Source organism: Homo sapiens, chromosome 11 (assembly GCF_000001405.40).
Source record: "Homo sapiens chromosome 11, GRCh38.p14 Primary Assembly".
NCBI classification, from domain to species: Eukaryota; Metazoa; Chordata; class Mammalia; order Primates; family Hominidae; genus Homo; species Homo sapiens.
Genome location: NC_000011.10, coordinates 105,355,666 through 105,373,345, shown reverse-complemented (window position 1 = coordinate 105,373,345; position 17,680 = coordinate 105,355,666). Strand labels below are relative to the sequence as shown.

General features: G+C 32.8%; 1 long non-coding RNA gene across 7 annotated transcripts in view; it reads left to right on the top strand.

Annotated features, from left to right (window-relative positions):
- The window catches only part of LOC105369468 (uncharacterized), a 383,452-nt gene that overhangs the window by 168,022 nt on the left and 197,750 nt on the right, over positions 1-17,680 (top strand). The window contains exon 5 of one of the 7 annotated variants that reach the window (XR_001748359.2): positions 1,585-2,792. The exons of the other annotated variants lie outside the window; for them this stretch is intronic. This is a non-coding gene — a long non-coding RNA (uncharacterized LOC105369468). Of the gene's footprint in view, positions 1-1,584; positions 2,793-17,680 lie in introns of those variants that run through there. 7 annotated transcript variants of the gene reach the window in all.

The following is a 17,680-nucleotide window of genomic DNA, read 5'->3' as shown; positions in this document are numbered from 1 at the left end:
TCCAGCCTGGGCAACAAGAGCAAAACTCCATCTCAAAAAAAAAATTAGATAATCTATCCAGACTTTTGCGATATAGTTTGTAACACTGGCCCTGATGTGAAATTACTGGAAGCTCACTTCAACAACCTGCCTTTCTCAGTCCTCTCCTCATCCACCTCTCAATTCCAAATAACTAACACTATGAAGTGATGCATATGTTTTTAATTTTTTGATAGGAAAATCTTATATTTTACATATTAATATACAATCATTTTCAAATACTCCTTTTCAAGAAAACAATGGTTGAAAACAACAAGATTACATAAAACAAGATCATTATGTTGATAGGTAAGATGTAAAAGGGGATTATTTTTTCCCAAAAAATTTGATAAACTCAATCTTTAGGAAAATCACCGACAAGATCATATGGATGATAACAATGACAGTAAACCTAGTTTCTCATTAGTGGGCATTAGCTTGCAGAAAACAAAATTAGCTTTGTAAATGTGTATTATTTGTATTACTATCTATAAACCATTATTTTTAGGAAAAGATGAAGTAGTTACACTATTTCACCCAAGATAAAAGAATTCAGAAAAAAAATACATTTTATAGTTACTATTTACAGAGAGTTTTATAAATGTTAAGATTCTAAAGAAGCCTTAAGCTTATTGAGCTAGTGTTCTCATTTTAACATGTGTGTGATTACAGTAAGCTGTGTCAAAAGTCATCCTCTGAGTAAGGTTACTGAGGGAAAAGTGAGAGCCAAAACGTTATAAATAACTCTAAACTGATTTTCATAGGTAGTTTTGTTTTCAAAAAGCATACACAAGGTATACTGCTGATTTATTCTTCAATTTTGTTGAGCCTTAAATCTGCGTGGAGAGCATGATCAGTGTTCTGAATGTCTGTTGACAGATACTCTTAAAGAAAGGAAAGTCACTCAGCATGCTGTCTGAACTCTCAGACTGTATTAACATTGTCGTGTCATATTTCCTTCCTGGCATATCATAGTGATATTTAAATCTCTCCTTTTATGCTTCCATATATTCACACGACTTATTTCAAAGTTCCCCTGCGTGTCGGAATTTGTAATTGCACACAAAAATATGAGGGAGCTATAACTACATTTGAAATATGATGTTAAGAATTATGTCTGATCCTGGTAAATTATCTGATATATGTATGTAAGGCTATTTAGAAACAAAAAAATAATTATGTTTTCTGTAATGTATTAAGCAAATTATGGAAATTTTTTAAAATAAATTGTTCCAAAATGAAATCAAATGTGCTGGATAAAGGCCATGTTTGGGCTTGCCCGTTTTCCTGAAAGGAGCACATTCTAAAATAATATCATCTGATATAAAACCACTTTTCATTTTTGGAAGTTTTGAATGCACTTGACCTCTCTGAAACGATCAGATATATAGCATATTGGAAATAAGGAAAATATAGGTAAAAATGCTCAATAATTTTTAAATAGCAGGTTATTTCCTCTTCTGAAATTTTTAACTAAAAAAATTAAGTGACATGGTATTTGAATGAGGTTTTATCATTTAAGCTTGAGGAGATTTTGATGTAATTATTTATATTATAATTCTTCAGGTTGTTCTGCAGTAAGCAAGTCTATGCAAACCTCTTCCCAAAGTCCAAGGAAACTGAGAGACCAAAGAAAGAGGCTGACAAATCCAATTTTTCAGAAAGTAACATCTAATAGAAACTTATGAACAGAAGTCATGTCTGTGTTTTGGGCAGCTGTGAGACAAGATGATGGATCCCAGGGCCATTATCCCCCAGACCCAGGCTTTATAAATCACAGGGAAGGAATGTGTAGGATAACCGAAATCAACATCTCAAGGAAAAGCAAAAATGGTATGTGAATCTGCCGAAGGGCAGGATTTATTGTCAAGGTTGTTTTGACCTAAGGGTAGGATTTATGTTAAGTACACAAGAAACAGTGATAAAATAGAAATCTTAGAGGCATTTCTGGAACTGGAGTTAGTCAGAAGCCAACATGGCAGATTTGCATCGAAGATGGATTTGCCTTTAGCCTCCGTATAAGTACATACTACTGAACTCTAAATGCTTAAAGGAAGAGACTATGTCCATTTTAGTATAGATTTAATATACTTACTAAATCTATATGGCATCAAAACTTCATGAATATTGTTAACAAATGATTTTGGTAGCTCAGATAAGCATTATTACATTGTTGTTTATCTGTATATTTTTCACAGAAGTGCTTTTCAAATTCTTTTGAAAACTTAGTTTTACAGGGGGTTTGTAGTTTCAATAATTACACACACACACACACACACAAAGGAGTCAAACAATAAAGAATTTTTCATCTTGCTATGAAGATCTTAACTGCCATACATTCCTGTTCTTGATTTGTATTAATTCTATATTTTTATGATTTTAATAAATGTCTAGAATCATGTAATCATCACCCCAATGAAGAAATGGGACATTTTTATCTCATGAGAAAGTTCCCTTTGCAGTCAATCCTACTTCCTCCCTCCACATCACAAAAGTGATTTGATTTCTGTCATTATAGATTAGTTTTATTTGTTCTGAAGTTTAAATAAATTGATCATACAGTGTATAGTCATTTGCATCTAGCTTCTTTTGCTCAACATAATATCTCTGAAATTCAATCATATTGTTTTCTGTATCTGCAATTAGTTCATTTTCATTGCTGACTACTATTCCATTGTTTAAATTTACCACAATTTGTTTATCCACCCACCTGTTGATGGACAGTTTGTTTCCAATTCTTTACTAGGAATAAAGTTGCTATGAGCATTCTTGTATAAGTCTTTTTTTGGAAAGATGTTTTTATTTCTCTTGGGTGAATGCCCAGGAGTGAAATTGATGAGGTATATGGGAAGTGGATATTTAACTCTAAAGTGGCTGTACACTACTGCATTTCCACTCATAATGTATTAGAGTTTCAGTTACTCTGTATCCTCACCAGCCATTGTAATGCTGATCTTCTTAAATTTAGAGATTCTACTGGGGATGCAGCAGTATTTAATCTGGATCAGATTAGTTATTAATCTATATCAATTTATTTGAATTTCTCTGATAACTAATGATATTGAGTATCTGTTCCTGTGTTTATTGGCAATTTACTAATTCTCTTTTGTAAAGTTTCCTCAAGTTTTTTTTATAGTAGGTTGTTTCATATTATTGGGTTATGAGTTACTTTGATATTCACCTGTCAAGTCCTTTCCAGGGATATGTATTGAAATTTTTTCTACCATTATATGGCATGCCTTTTCATGTTCTTTAATGATATTTTTGAAAAGCAAACATTTAAATTTGCTGACATTATGTTTGATCTTTTACATTTTTTATTTCCTTTTTCATAAATGGATTTACCTTACAACAGTTTAATTCCATTTACCTAACCTCCTCCTTTGCTCTTTTATTATGAAAACAAAAAGTTAATAGTTAATATATATTAAACACCTGACACTGTTTTTTTTTAGACAGTAATTTTTTTATAAAGAAGTCACAAGAAGAAACCACTATGTTTGATTAATTCTGAAGCTCTTTATCCTTTCTTTCAGATCCAAGGTTTTATTTGGTATCATTTTACTTCAGCCTGAAGAATATCTTTCAACACTTCTTGTAGTGCAGGTTTACTAGTGACAATTACCTTCAGTTTTCATTTATCTAACTATGTCTTTATTTCAACATCTTTTTGTGAGGACATTATAATTAGAAATTATATTTTGGTATTTGTAAAGTTTTATTTATATTTTTTAGAAGTTTCACAATTATATGTCTAAATAAGGGTTTTATTTGTTTATTTGTTTGTATTCACCCTACCTGGGCTTCACTGAGGGTCTTGAGTCTATAATTTGATAATTTAAACCAAATTTAGGACTATTTTATTCTTTATTTTTAAACTTTCTTTCTTTCTTTCTTTCTTTCTTTCTTTCTTTCTTTCTTTCTTTCTCTTTCCTTCTTTCTTTCTCTTTCTTGGTTTTTGTTATACTTAAGTTAATCCATTTAATGTTTTCTCACAGATTCCTGAGGCTCTGTTATTCTTTAATGCTATTCTCTCTATTTTTCAGAAGGGGTAATTTCTATTTATATGTCTTTGATTTCACTGGTATTGATTTTCTGACATCTTCAAGCTACTGTTATTGAAGCCCAAATTCAGATTTGTGAACCCATGTGCAGCTGATGCTGAACGCTGACAAACAGATGTTTGGAGGCAGAGAAAGGTTTATTTGATTTGGCCAAAGTGAGAAGGCAAGGCGGCAAGATCTCTCAAATCTACCTTAACAAAAAGAAGCAGCAGAGAGTTTTCATGTGGCCAGGGGGTAAGGGAGGGGTGGTTTCAGGGAATCAAAGGAAAAGGCTATATTTCATCAGTCTCAGATAACACCTTGAGCAACCAGTTTTCTGGAGGTCAGCAGCTGGTTCACAAAGTCCTTCGAGGCATTCATTCCTTCTGGAAAACCTTTGTGTGAACCCAGAGTTATCACGTTCTGCTCGACAAACAAACTATACATCAGCAGTTTATAATTACGTTATGGGAAAAAAGAATACTGGGCAAAAAGCTAGTGCAAGCAAGCAAGGACCTGATCCAAATTTTTATTATTTAAGTCACTAAAAGTGCTGGGATGCTGAAATCTCGAGTGCCCTGGTAACACTACGGTGGAACTAATTTTGGAAAAATTCCATATTCATTTGGAGACTTTTTATAGTTTCTTTTTTTGTTTGCTGATATTTCATTTATTGATTATGATACATTTTTGCTGTAATAGTTTAAATATATATTTCTTTATTTCTTCGAACCTATTTATAGTAGTTGCTTTAAAGGTTTTGTTCATTAATCTTAACATTTATGTGATCTTCAAGTTAATTTTTATTGAGTGATTATTTTGTTGGTGTGGTTAGGTGAATGTTTAACTATTTAAGAAACTACTACACTATTTTCCAAAACTGTTGTACCATTTACATTTTCATCAGTAGTATATGAAAGTTCTAGTTCTTCTACATCCTTTTTAGCACTCTGTTTTTTAGTATTTTTAGTTTTAAACTTTCTAATATTTGTATAGTGGTATCTCATTGTAGTCTTAATTTAAATTTTCCTAAAGACAAATGATATTGAGCATTTCTTCATGTCTTTATTTGCCAGCCACATATCTTTTTTGGTGAAATGTCTGTTTAAATATTTTCTAATTTTTAAAATTGGGTTGCCTATTTTCCATTGAGTTTGAAAGGCTTTTATATACTCTATACTCAATTCTTTTATCAGATGTACTATTTGCAAACATTTTCTCTCAGTATGGGGCTTATCTTTTCATCTTCAACTTTGTCTTTTGAAGAGCAGATGTTATTAATTTGATGAAATCCCACTTAACAGTTTGTTCTATCATCTAGCATGCTTTTAGTGTCACATCTAAGGAATCTTTACAATCTTAAGACTACAGTTGTTTTTCCCTATATTCTCATAGATGTTTCGAAGTTTTAGGTTTTGAATTTTGACCTGTGATCCACTTCGAATTATTTTTTATATGTGGTGAAAAGTATAAATGGAAGCTGTTGGTTTATTTTGCCTGTGGGTATCCAATCGATGTAAGACAGTTTGTTAAAAAGACCCCCAATTTTTGCCTCTTCATTGAACATGACCATCACACTCTGCTTTGTCTCCATCTCACTGTGCCGTGTTTTGGAAACTGCTCTCAGGCAAAGTTCAGAGATGTTCACGGGCTTCACCTATTGAGTTTTTCTTCTTTCAGGTATTGCTGTTTTGCAGTGATCATATTCCAGTGCTGAAAAAAGAGGGACCTTGCATATTTATTTAGTTTTATGTCAAGGGAGAGAAAGAGAAAGAGAGATTAAAAACTGATACCTCTATTTCCAGGGTCACTATATAACTGTCCAATCACTCAGGTGAGACCATCTTCTTAAAATGCCTAAACTTCCTAATTCTATGACTAAGAAATTTGGCAATATTTGAGTGTTGGAGTAATTTTGATGATTCATCAAGCAAATGCCTTTATTATTAACTTTAACTTTTATTTTTTTCATTTATACAGCCATTGTTTGGTGCTTAACCTTCCACACACTGTAATTTAAGCCCTTTGGGAAGTGTAATATGTCTTCAGTGACACAATTTTGAACTAGTTATGTAATTCTAAAACAGTAGATAGAAAAAAATCTTCCAATCACCCTTTTGTACAATCTTCTCTTGTTTCTTGAATGTTAAACCCTAAATATTGTTTTTGTATATGCTAAGCAACTGTAAATTGTTAGGAGATGATTACTGAGCAAAATAATAATAAAGAAATATACTCTCTATTTACATTAAGACAACATGACACTTCAGTTTCCATAAAAGAACAGATGAAATGGAAGTGATATTTATACTGAGGAGAAAAACACCGTGTGAGTTGAAGGTGAAAGTGGTGCTGGGAATCATCTACTTTGGAGTAGCCAGGGTAACTGAATTGGAAGTAGAAGCTGTAAGAAGAGGGAAAAAAGGTATAATTTAAGTAACCTAGAAAGAAGATTTTGACTTGCAATAGGATATTACTAATGAAAACAATATATTTTTAAGATCAATCCTACGTTAGACCAAGTAAAAATAACTCTGAAAAAAGAAATTTTTACTAAACTTGACACCTATAGGTAATAAAGATAGACCATGAGTAATTTTTAAAAATTACTCTTTAAGCCTGTCTGTGTTTAATTTCCTTATTTTATATATATACATATATATAAGCATATATATATAAACATATATATATATATAAGCAGAAAGAATTTTGTTCTTTCTGCTTATAACTTTTTAACTTCAGTGTCCTCTGTTAAAATGGGTTGTGGTACTATATAGAGTTTTGGTAAGATAAAATTAGATAATTTACATGTTTTTGGTACAGTGTCTGGCATGTAAAAACACCAGTTGTTCATTGATTATTATTTATTATTATTAATGTTGCTATCATTTTCATCATCAATCAAGAAATCCATCCTGAGAGTTCGTTATTTCTGTGATCATTTAACCGCACAAAAAGATTTAGTGATACAGGGGTACAATTGCTCCCAGGCAGGAGACTCAAGAAAAAGCCTAAACCCTTGGAAGGAGGAAAGATGGGGAAGTAGACTGAGGAAGTGAGTAAACTATGGTACTGACAGTAAGCATGGAATCTAAACCGTCGTACAGGATCAGAGCTATATATGGTTACTGCTGCCTTATTCACCTTTACAAAAACCATCTATGTTTTACTTAGTTTTCTGATAGGTAAATTCCCATACTTTCTCTTGGATATGCCTATTTGGACAGAAAGATTACAGAATGTGTTATATTTGAAAAGACAGTGAAAGAAGAATACCTCATATTGCAAGTGTTAATAGCATTTACAAAAACTATAACAGAAACGTAGTTAATGAATTTCTGAACTTCAAATCAAATTGAAGGCTGAATAAAAAATGCAGCACTTTTGGAAGCAATTTGGTACTCTACACAATGAGCCTTAAACTCTTCATGCTGTGTGACTTAGAAAGAATACTTCTAGGAAGCCATTCTACAAATGTAATCCAATATACAGGGGAATCTACTTGCATTAGTTTTAAAAATCTTGGTATTATTTGTAATTTGAATCTTCCAATTTGGTGTAAATATACAGCAAGAAGGAAGTGATTGACACATTATTAAATATTGCTTAAAAACCATTAACACCACAAAACCTGTAGTAATATAGCAATAAAACTATTTGATATATTAAATCCAAAATGCACTATGTTTATAAAATGATTATAATAATGTAAAATAAATACAGAATAATAAAATGGGAGAACACATTAACACATCAGCATGCTGACATTATGCAAGTAGAGAGATTGGAATGTTGTTTTTCCTTTATTTTGTTTATCTAAAATTTTTTAATAATAGAATAATTTTCTCATACTTTCTTTTATGAAAACAGAAACCATTTGATTAAGAAATAAGGATTGATGGTGCTTTTTCAGGAATTTACCACAAATTTAACTATAAAATTTACCCTAAAGAAACATACATAAGCTTTAATGATTTCACAGAATCTGGCTTCAATTAACTTAAAATTCATACAATTTAGATTTTAATCTAATGCTTATTTCTCCTAGAGTCCTCTCTATATCTCTTTCTAACTGGACTTACAGCTTTAGCACATCTCATTATAAAAGTTATCTTCTCTGTTTTTTGGTCATTCCACTTTTCAAAGCAGTGAAAATGTTCTTTCTTCTGTTGATTTAAATCAGTTTCTTTATAGATTACATTCCCATGTTTCGAGGTCTAATCCCTGTTTTACATGCTGTCTTCCAAAAGTATAGACTCTAATCATGCAAAAACAATGCAAAACAAATAGAAACCAAACAACAAAATACACAGATTTCCATTTACCTGGCATTGAGTCTCCTCAGTATTTTAGTCACACTATTCTTAATGCATTTGAAATTTATCTTTAATCTTCCTTAAATTTTATCACTGAGATTTGAGTACATTTCTGTAGTTTTGATCTCACTAGCCCAGAGCAGGAAGAGATCATCACCTTTTTTCCATTCCATTAATGAATCTTAAAATATAATTAGCTTCTTTTGGCTTCATAGGGAAAATGTTTTTAAAGGGGCATAGTTTATAAGCAGAGATTACTTTTGAGCTTTAAGCTTGATCATAACTGGCTTTGTAATAAAAAAATCAATTTCTATGTTTCCATCCTCTCAGCTTTCTAGAAATCAATAAGACTACCAAAAACACCCCACAAAACATGCATTCAACTCAATAAGGTGTTAGTGAATCAATGCAAGCAAAGAAAAATTATTTTATGGGAGCAAAAACTTACACTCTATGAAATTTAACTGCTTAATCATACCGTGCAGTACATTTCAAATATGTCTTGAGAGAATAGGAACTATATCAAAAATTTTCTTTACTTTGCTTTTATATATTTCTTATAGCAAAGAGTATTCATCTATTTAAGACACATTTAAAAAAATTTCCTGACCCAAAGATATATTATTGAGTGACCGAGACATATGAGTTTTATTCAACCTATTCTGTCTTTACTTAAGATGCTTCCTTGAATTATAGTTGACATAAATTGATTTGAGGACTTCAAGAACTGGCTTCTTTCAATTCTCTGTAAGATTTCATTGATTATTTTTTCTTGGATTGAATCTTTAGAATACCACGTGCAGTGTATTCCTGTTTTTCATGCACATTAATAAATTAATAGTATTCTATGCTTACTAAAGCCTAGTTTTCTGAGAATTTTTAAAATGAAGACACTTTTATTTTAGATCCAAGTCATTAGGTTGGTCACTTTATCTTTATACATAAAATAGCTTAAAAAGTCCTGGCAAGGATGTCGTATTCTTTCCCTAAATTTGAATACACGGTACTCTCACCTGTGCAGAAAGACCACTGGGTGCAGGAACTTGTGTTTCCTTATAGTTTATCAACAGATAGGTTGCAGAACAGTGATGACTGCTTTGAAGCACAACTTTAAAGTGTGGTTTTAAATTGGGTAATCATTAATAATAGAATTCTCAACTTGGAGCTTTAAACACAGTGTACAAAAGCAAATAAACGGGCTTGAAAAGCCATTATGGAGAGGAAGCATATTATATTGAAATGAACAAAATATATTAGCACTACTTGAAGCACTATGTAGTAGGCAGATATTTTTCATATAAACAGGTGAGGGAGTAGCCTGTCTTCACTCTGTAGTATAGAATACATGGCATTAACAAACTCTCAAACACTTTTTTCTTGAGGTTGTTAACTAAAATATACATACATATTTCTTATGGCATTTTGCCCCAACGTTCTACTCTATTGCTCAAATTTTTATGATTACATGAAAATGTGGTTCATTTAGACCTTTTGGCTAAGAGCAACACTTACTAATGTCCCAATTCTTTTGGTCTACAGAAAAGGTCTTATCTCAATATTTGGCATCATGAAGAGATTCTGTTGTGATAAAAAACTAATCGTAGGATGGAATACTTACTACTTAAAATTGGTATAATCTTTGACAGTATCATCCACCATATGCACACTCTCACACATGCACACAACCCACTTTATATTTCTTAATGTCACAAACCAAAATTATATTATTATTTTTAGGTTATTTATTTCTGCCTCTCCAAATAGAATACACACACAAAAAAGTTTTTATTGGTTCAACTGCTGGAGCCACAGTGTCCAGTAGAGTGCCTTCATTGCAGTAGGTACTCTTATTTTTTATTAAATAATCTAGTTAGGCCGGAAGCGGTGGCTCACGCCTGTAATCCCAGCACTTTGGGAGGCTGAGGTGGGTGGATCACGAGGTCAGGAGATCGAGACCAGCTTGGCCAACATGGTGAAACCCCATCTCTACTAAAAATACACACACACACACACAAATTAGCTGGGCATAGTGGCACATGCCTGTAGTCCCAGCTACTCGGGAGACTGAAGCAGGAGAATAGCTTAAACCCACCATTGCACTACTGTACTCCAGCCTGGGCGACAGAGTGAGACTCCATCTCAAAAAAAAAAAAAATCTAATTAAAGACATTATATAGAAATACGTAATAGGTAAGTAAATAAATACCGAATGTGTAAGTAATTCAATAAGTGAACAATATTTGTAATAGTAGGACCCTTGTCTTCATTTAAAAACACAGAAACAACAGGGCTTACTTAAAATTTACAATAAGATGCTACAAAGAAAACATTGGTCCAATAGTTATATATTTTATGGTATTTTTGGATCAGTGATTAAAAAAACGGAAACTTTCATAATGGCAATTAGTTTACTGGCATTAACTTCTTAGCAGTGAATATGAAGTAGCAATGAAAAAATCTAAAGAAAACTATCTTTGAGAATTTGGAAATGGAGTCTTAATGAAAATAAGATGTAAAAGATCAAAATTGTGACCATTTGTATAGATGAAGTTTTAGAAGTTATTGGAGTGCTTATATTCACAGAGTCAGTTCAAGGGTTGATTTTTTGGAGGTTTAATATGGATATATTTAATAGCATATAGCCAGGTAATAGTGGACATTTCCATCAGTTTTTCTGGCTGCTGTCCCTAGTTATAGACTCTTGAACATAATCTCAAATGTAATTGGTCTTCTCCTATTGAACTCAACTTCTTCATTTAGTTTTCCCTTTAGACTTTATCTTTTGGGTTTCAGCCTAAAGCTACTGTTATAGACACATATGGATGTATACTGAATATATATATATATATATATATATAGAGAGAGAGAGAGAGAGAGAGAGACATATATACAGCATGTGTATATTTACATATTTATATTTTATATTTCTTGGGAGCTATCTCTGTACATGTGCTTTATTCACATTGAGACCCATGTTGCCCTGCATTAAAAAAAATGCCAGAGCCCAACTAAAATTTCCATATGCTACTTTAATTTCATCATTTCCTTTTCAGGGATGATTCAACAATGTTTAACTCAACAAATATGTGTTGAGCACTTTCTATGGGACAGGTACTCTAAATCCTACAAGTATAACACTTAACAAAACAGACAAAGGTCCGTGTTCTCATAGGACTAATGTCCTTGTAAGGAGTAACATGTAACAAACAACAGACCTACTGAATAAGCTAATGATGTGGTTTAGTAGAAGCTGATAAAAGCTGATGGGAAAGAAAAAGGTGAGCAGGTGATAGGAGAATCAGAAGTATGGAAAATAAGTGTCAGCAACAATTTTACATTATTAGAGCTGTGGTTATTAAGGGTGTAGAATGTGAGTACAAGTTTAAAGACTTACTTTGACTGATAAACTGCAATATATGTAAACTAATGTGGAGGTAGAAGTGACTGAGGCAGAGAGATCAGTAAGGGGGAAATCATGATTGCTCATTTTAATGGCCATCAGGTAGTGCATTATCCAGAGACATTTTGTATTGGAGATATTTAATGGAATAAACCTTAAGATATTCAGGCAACAGTTTGGAATTCAAGTGCAGCACTTTGCAGTGAATTTGAGATTGTAGGTGACTTTTTTTTTTCTGCATCTAACCACCTTTTCTATGTTTGGGGTCTCCCTTTACATTATGAGGTAGTTTCTTACTCTAGAAACAAAAAGATGCCGGGGAAAATTTTCCTAGCCCTCCTTGCAGCTGTAGTCCAGATTCACCTTCAAGGCTCTAATGATATGATTTATCTATGCAGATTTTAAAACAAAAAGCTAGTACATTAAAAGCGAGGGTAATATATACTCTCTTTTTTAAGGGGGCAGAAAAGTGCCACTTACAGCAGTTTTCAGAGTTAGGAATAGATGCACTTAGATAATGGTGCAGCAACAAGATCTGTTCCTGGTCCTGTTTTCATGTGACCATTTCTATGACACTTTGTAAGAGTTGTTTCTGACTGTCTATCCTCCAGACCAAGCTCCATAGCCCTTCCCCCAAATTCTGTGTTTAGCAAAACATCCTTTAATAAATTGGTTTTCTGACTGATTCAGGCAGAGTTACAATTGTTTAGGAATACAAAACAAAGCAAAACTACTAACTGACAGTGGGACCAAAGGCATATATGAAGACGTCACATATGAATACTTATAATGATTCAAATTAAAGCATAAAGAGTACAAATAAAATAATTGAGAACTAAAGAAAATAAAAAGAATTGAGTGGGAATATTTGATGGAATATACTTGGAAGGAGAAAGAAGAATCTAAACAGGAGTAGTCTTAATATGGGAGAAAAACCACTAAATGCTTTGTAAATAATAAGATTAGAGAGTATTTCAGGGAAGCCTCAAATTCAACAGAGATCATTGAAAACTTTATTCAGAATTTTTAAGAGCTTTTTTTTTAGTAAAGAGATTGTTTAGTGACATTCTCACAAACTCACAGCTACCTAAATTAAGAAAGCACCATGAGGTAATCACATTAGTAATCTAACTAGTAGTGTCCTTTGCATCAATTCAACCACATTCACCACCATCAGCACATAATTTAGTGCTTAATTCCTTCAATTATATATATATATATATATATATATATGTAAATTTGTCAAGCTTGCCAGGTAACAACTTCCAAGGGGGTATGCAATATTATTTATATTTTCCTTATGTCCTAGTCTAAGATACTGCACTAGAATGTTCTCCAAACTATCTAGAGGCTGTCTTTGTGTTTCAAGGTATCTGTCATATCCCTACTTACTTTTGCTGCCTTAGCCTGTTTCTTGACACATGCAATTTTCCATTCTGCATTTCACAGCCAAGTAGACTCTCAGTTATGTCATCATAATTTTGTTTTCAATTCAGGTCTTTGGTTCATGAGTTGAACATCTTCTCTGCACTTTGTTATGTATATCTGTGCATTTTCTCAACGCCCAAGGGAAGAATACACAGAAGTGTGTGATTCTAACACTCACCCACCACTGAGGTCTGGAAGTGGAGCATAGGTCCTTTAGCAATCTCAGCAAAACCTTTTGGGGTTCCACTGATTCAGTTGCTAAGAAACTTGTTATTCAGAAATTTTGAGAATAGCTTTGGCTTCTTCCACTGACCTCCCTCTTGTAGATGAGGTTCTTGAACCACTTTGAGTGCTGAATATCAGCTTCCTATACTGGTATTGAATACAATTGAAACCTCTGCTTACTGCTGTCTCCTCCATGGACACATAATTGATTTCCAGAAATTTGTTCTGGTTATTTTAATTAAAGATAACAAAAAGCTGTTGCCTGTCACCTGTCATCATCTCAAACGAACCTGACTCTTAACAGAAGATCCAGAAGTAAACTCTCCTAGAAGTTTGTCTTCATCATCTGTGACACAGGCTTTTCTGCTCATTAATTATTTTGAGTGTTCATGAATAACGTAAAATCACTGAGCAGCAAAATTACAAGATGTAGTCCCAAAATTTCAATTTTAGATATTTCAGAAAAAAACATGACTTGCAAACTTCTTTACTGGCAATTTCTTATCTGCAGAGTGACTAGATTAAAGAGTACCTTTGGAAGTTAGATATAACATATCACATTTTCCTGTTAACAGCATTGTCCTTAGACCTGGGCAGGGAGGCAGCTGCTTTACACTCCACATATGTGGTCTGTGGCAGCAGGCCACAGACATACTAAAAGGCTATGAAATAAATTAAGGGCAGCTATAAAATTATTCTAATCAAATCCAGAACTTGAACAGTTCAGATGAAATACCTGGACTGCCTTAGTCTTTAATTAATGAACATTTAATTATGATCAATATAATAAGAATATAAAAAGGCAATTATTTCTATCAAATTCAGATCTCAGAAGCAACAAATGCAGCTCTGATCTATTAGAAAGATAAAATATATTCAGAAAATTAGCAGATTCTATGAAAACTCATGAAAATATTCATCACATCTTTCTGGCATTGTAAAAATGTTTCTATCAAAACAGCTTCTGATTCAGTTTAACTACATAAAATTACTTTGGGTTACAGGGCAGAAATTTCAGTATTTTATTTTGAATCATTTTTAAAATGGAAAAAAGAAAATGTAGTAATTAGCTTTTAAATACTAACTTAAAATGCAATGTATTTTGCTTCTACTATTACATGTACTACAAGTTAGTTTCACATTTAGTTTTTCCAATTAAATTATCTATGGCTAGAAACATTTGATACTCTATTAAAAGACCACAAATCCACTTGGAAACAAAACATTTCATATCTAATTGTAGAACTGAAGAACAAAGCTAACTAATTAAAAATATCAACAGTATTGAATCAAGACAAATACATTAGAAAACAGAACATTAGTATAATATTCTTAAAAGGATGGTATCTTGTATCTACATGTAATCCCACATAATGGTGTACATGTTTTGGTCTTTACTAGCATAGTGTGTACTAGAAAAAAAATTTCTGAATTTATTAAGTATGATTTTAAAATTTGATCTATAATGAACAAATTCATATGAAGGATAAAAATAATTTAATGACAGAAATAATCAGTATGTGGGATGGAAAATTTAAGCTAATATTATTAATCAAATGCATAATACATTTAGAGATCCTGTAATACTTAAAATAAATAATTAGGAAAAATGTGACTTCTGGAATGGTAGCGTGGTAAGTTCTGCAAACCTTCTTTCCAGAAAATGATCATATTGAAGAAACTATTTTAAAGAAGTCTTTGGAAATTGTTTCATAGCAAATAAATATTTTTTTCAAGAAAATCTTCTAAATTGTGATACCAAGAGCCAGTCTGTGTCACTTAGCCATGACTTGCTTTCTCCTTCTCTCTCCCATCTCAAAATTTCTTTTATTTCCTTTTTTTTTTTTTTCAGACTCTCCAATCTGAGTGAGTAGGGCCAAGAAAATGAGGCTCTCTCTCTCTCCTCATCTCAGTTAAAGGATATGTTATCTCACCAGGAGGGGCAGGTTGCCAACTTTTCTCATACCTCTCAGCAATAAATTGCACAGGCTAAATTCCTAACATTTGAAGCTAGAGGTTGGGGTTTTTCTTCATTCACTCAACCCCGTCTAGTAGAGTGGAGGCTCACTGCTAGTCATGGCAAGCCAAAAAAAATTGAGGAAATGATTGTCCCTCTCCAGCTCCCTCACAGAGTGGAAGATACATGTGGGGGAGGCAGCCTGCGAAGATGAGCAGTTACCTTCCCTACCAACATGATAAGCCCTTGGAGATGCCTGTAGGCACTGGTTCTGAACGTCATCCCTAATTTGCCCTGTGTCCCCTGCTGGTCCTCAAAGGCACCCTACCCAGGGGCACTTGGCGGGACTTAACTGAGGAGGAGCTGGTGTGTCTCTGTCACTCTGGAAAAATTACACCACTCTCCTTGCTCTCACTCTAGAGCAGAGGTTCCAATGTTTTGCCATGGTAAAGAGGGAGTCCATAAAAACAGAGCACTCCAAAGCTCTCTATAAAGCAACTAACTTAATTGGAAACTGACTGTTGGGACATTCAAGCTAAGAGTTGCTCAGAAACAAAGGCTGTTTTGATGATAAGCAATTATGAGCAACATGCTAAAATATAGACCGGAAACTTTACCATAGAGACAACCAGATGAAGAGACAACTAACAATGCCCCTCCTGTGTTCAGAACAAACCACAAAACTTGCCTCAAAAACTAGCTCTGCAATTGGCCTTGGTTGACTTGGATCAGACTGTGGGAGCAATTTATACTTTAGGGTATCATGGAAAACAACAGACCAGTCAGCCTTCCATTAGTGGAGGCTAAAATCTGGGTGTGCTATATGCAGAGGCAGACCCCTTAACAGAGAGAGCAGGGAGAGAGATAGTCCAATAGAATCCTGCTAAAACCACTGCTATTCTAAGGTGATTATCCTCTGCCTGAGGCTATGTCCTCTGAGAACATCTATGGCTTCACACTGAAGGAGAAACAGACTTTACTAAAATGGTACAGCCAAGTCAATAAACAAGAAGAAACCAAAGTTGAAATTTATAAATATCTCATTGCTTCTTGTAAGAAGTGGATACACTAAGTGTAGAACTAAAAAAGATAACTATTTTCAAATTTACACAGTGATTTTAAAGCTTGTCAAAGTCAAGTTGGAAATGTTCACGGTTACATGACTGATAAAGAAAAAAAAATACAAGCCAGAATTTTGGCTGAATATCTAGAAGCATTCCTTTTTCATATATGATAAATTGGTTGAATTTGTCTCTAGAAAAAGTCCTCAAAGATGTTGAAATAATAATATTTCTTGGAGCAACTCTAAGACTATATATGATATTTTCTGAATCTGCCAAAATATTTGAGAACCACACTCAGGCACAATATGGGAATGCAGACTAAATGTTGTTAAAGCGATTGTTTTAAGTATAGAAAAATGTAAGATCACTAGAGGTAGTAAGCAAAATAACAGAAAATCCTTCAAGAATCATGCAAGAAAAAACACTAAATTTGTACTATTCACAATTATTTGGAATAAATTATTGCTTACTAAAATTGCTATGTTAGCAATAGCTTACAAAAAATCAAACATCTACAGTATGCTATTTTATTTTTACTATAATTAAATTTATTTGATTTGTTAATCAAAATAAACTGCATTGAAATATTCAATATGTAGAATTTCAACAAAATAAGGAAATTGGAATAAAAACTAAAAACATTTACATGATTATGAAATAAAATAGTCACATACAAATAATACTGCAATTAATATCTGCAGAATTTATATTCTGGCCATTATAAATCAAGGTATGTCCCTGATGGAAAAATAAATAAATAAAATAAACAATAGAAACAGAATAAAAACTATTTTGACTCAGAATCCTATGTTATTTTTTCCTTTTTGTGGTGTGTGTGTAATTAACAGTGAGTTTTCTGAAGAGGTCTTATTGCTAGCCACTTGGAATACTGTTGTTACCTGGTTAGAAAATATAGCATTAAACATCTGATTTATTTACTCATCTTCAAACATAAGGAATTATCAAAAACGGTTTGAAAGTCTTTGGACCATTCAAAAACCAGTTGAACATGTTTATGTTTCATAGATAGAACAGAAAACTCAGATTAAGAAGGGGTTAAAGTCAATGAAATGAAGTTCTCTAGGGAAGAAAGCAGAAGAGATATCTAGGAATGGAAACTTTAAAGGAAAATGGAATGAAATCACATTATAAATTGTAGAGTGACTGGAACCTAATCTATGAAAACGGATAGGGCTGTGACCTGTATTGAGTTATTGCTCAGGAGGACA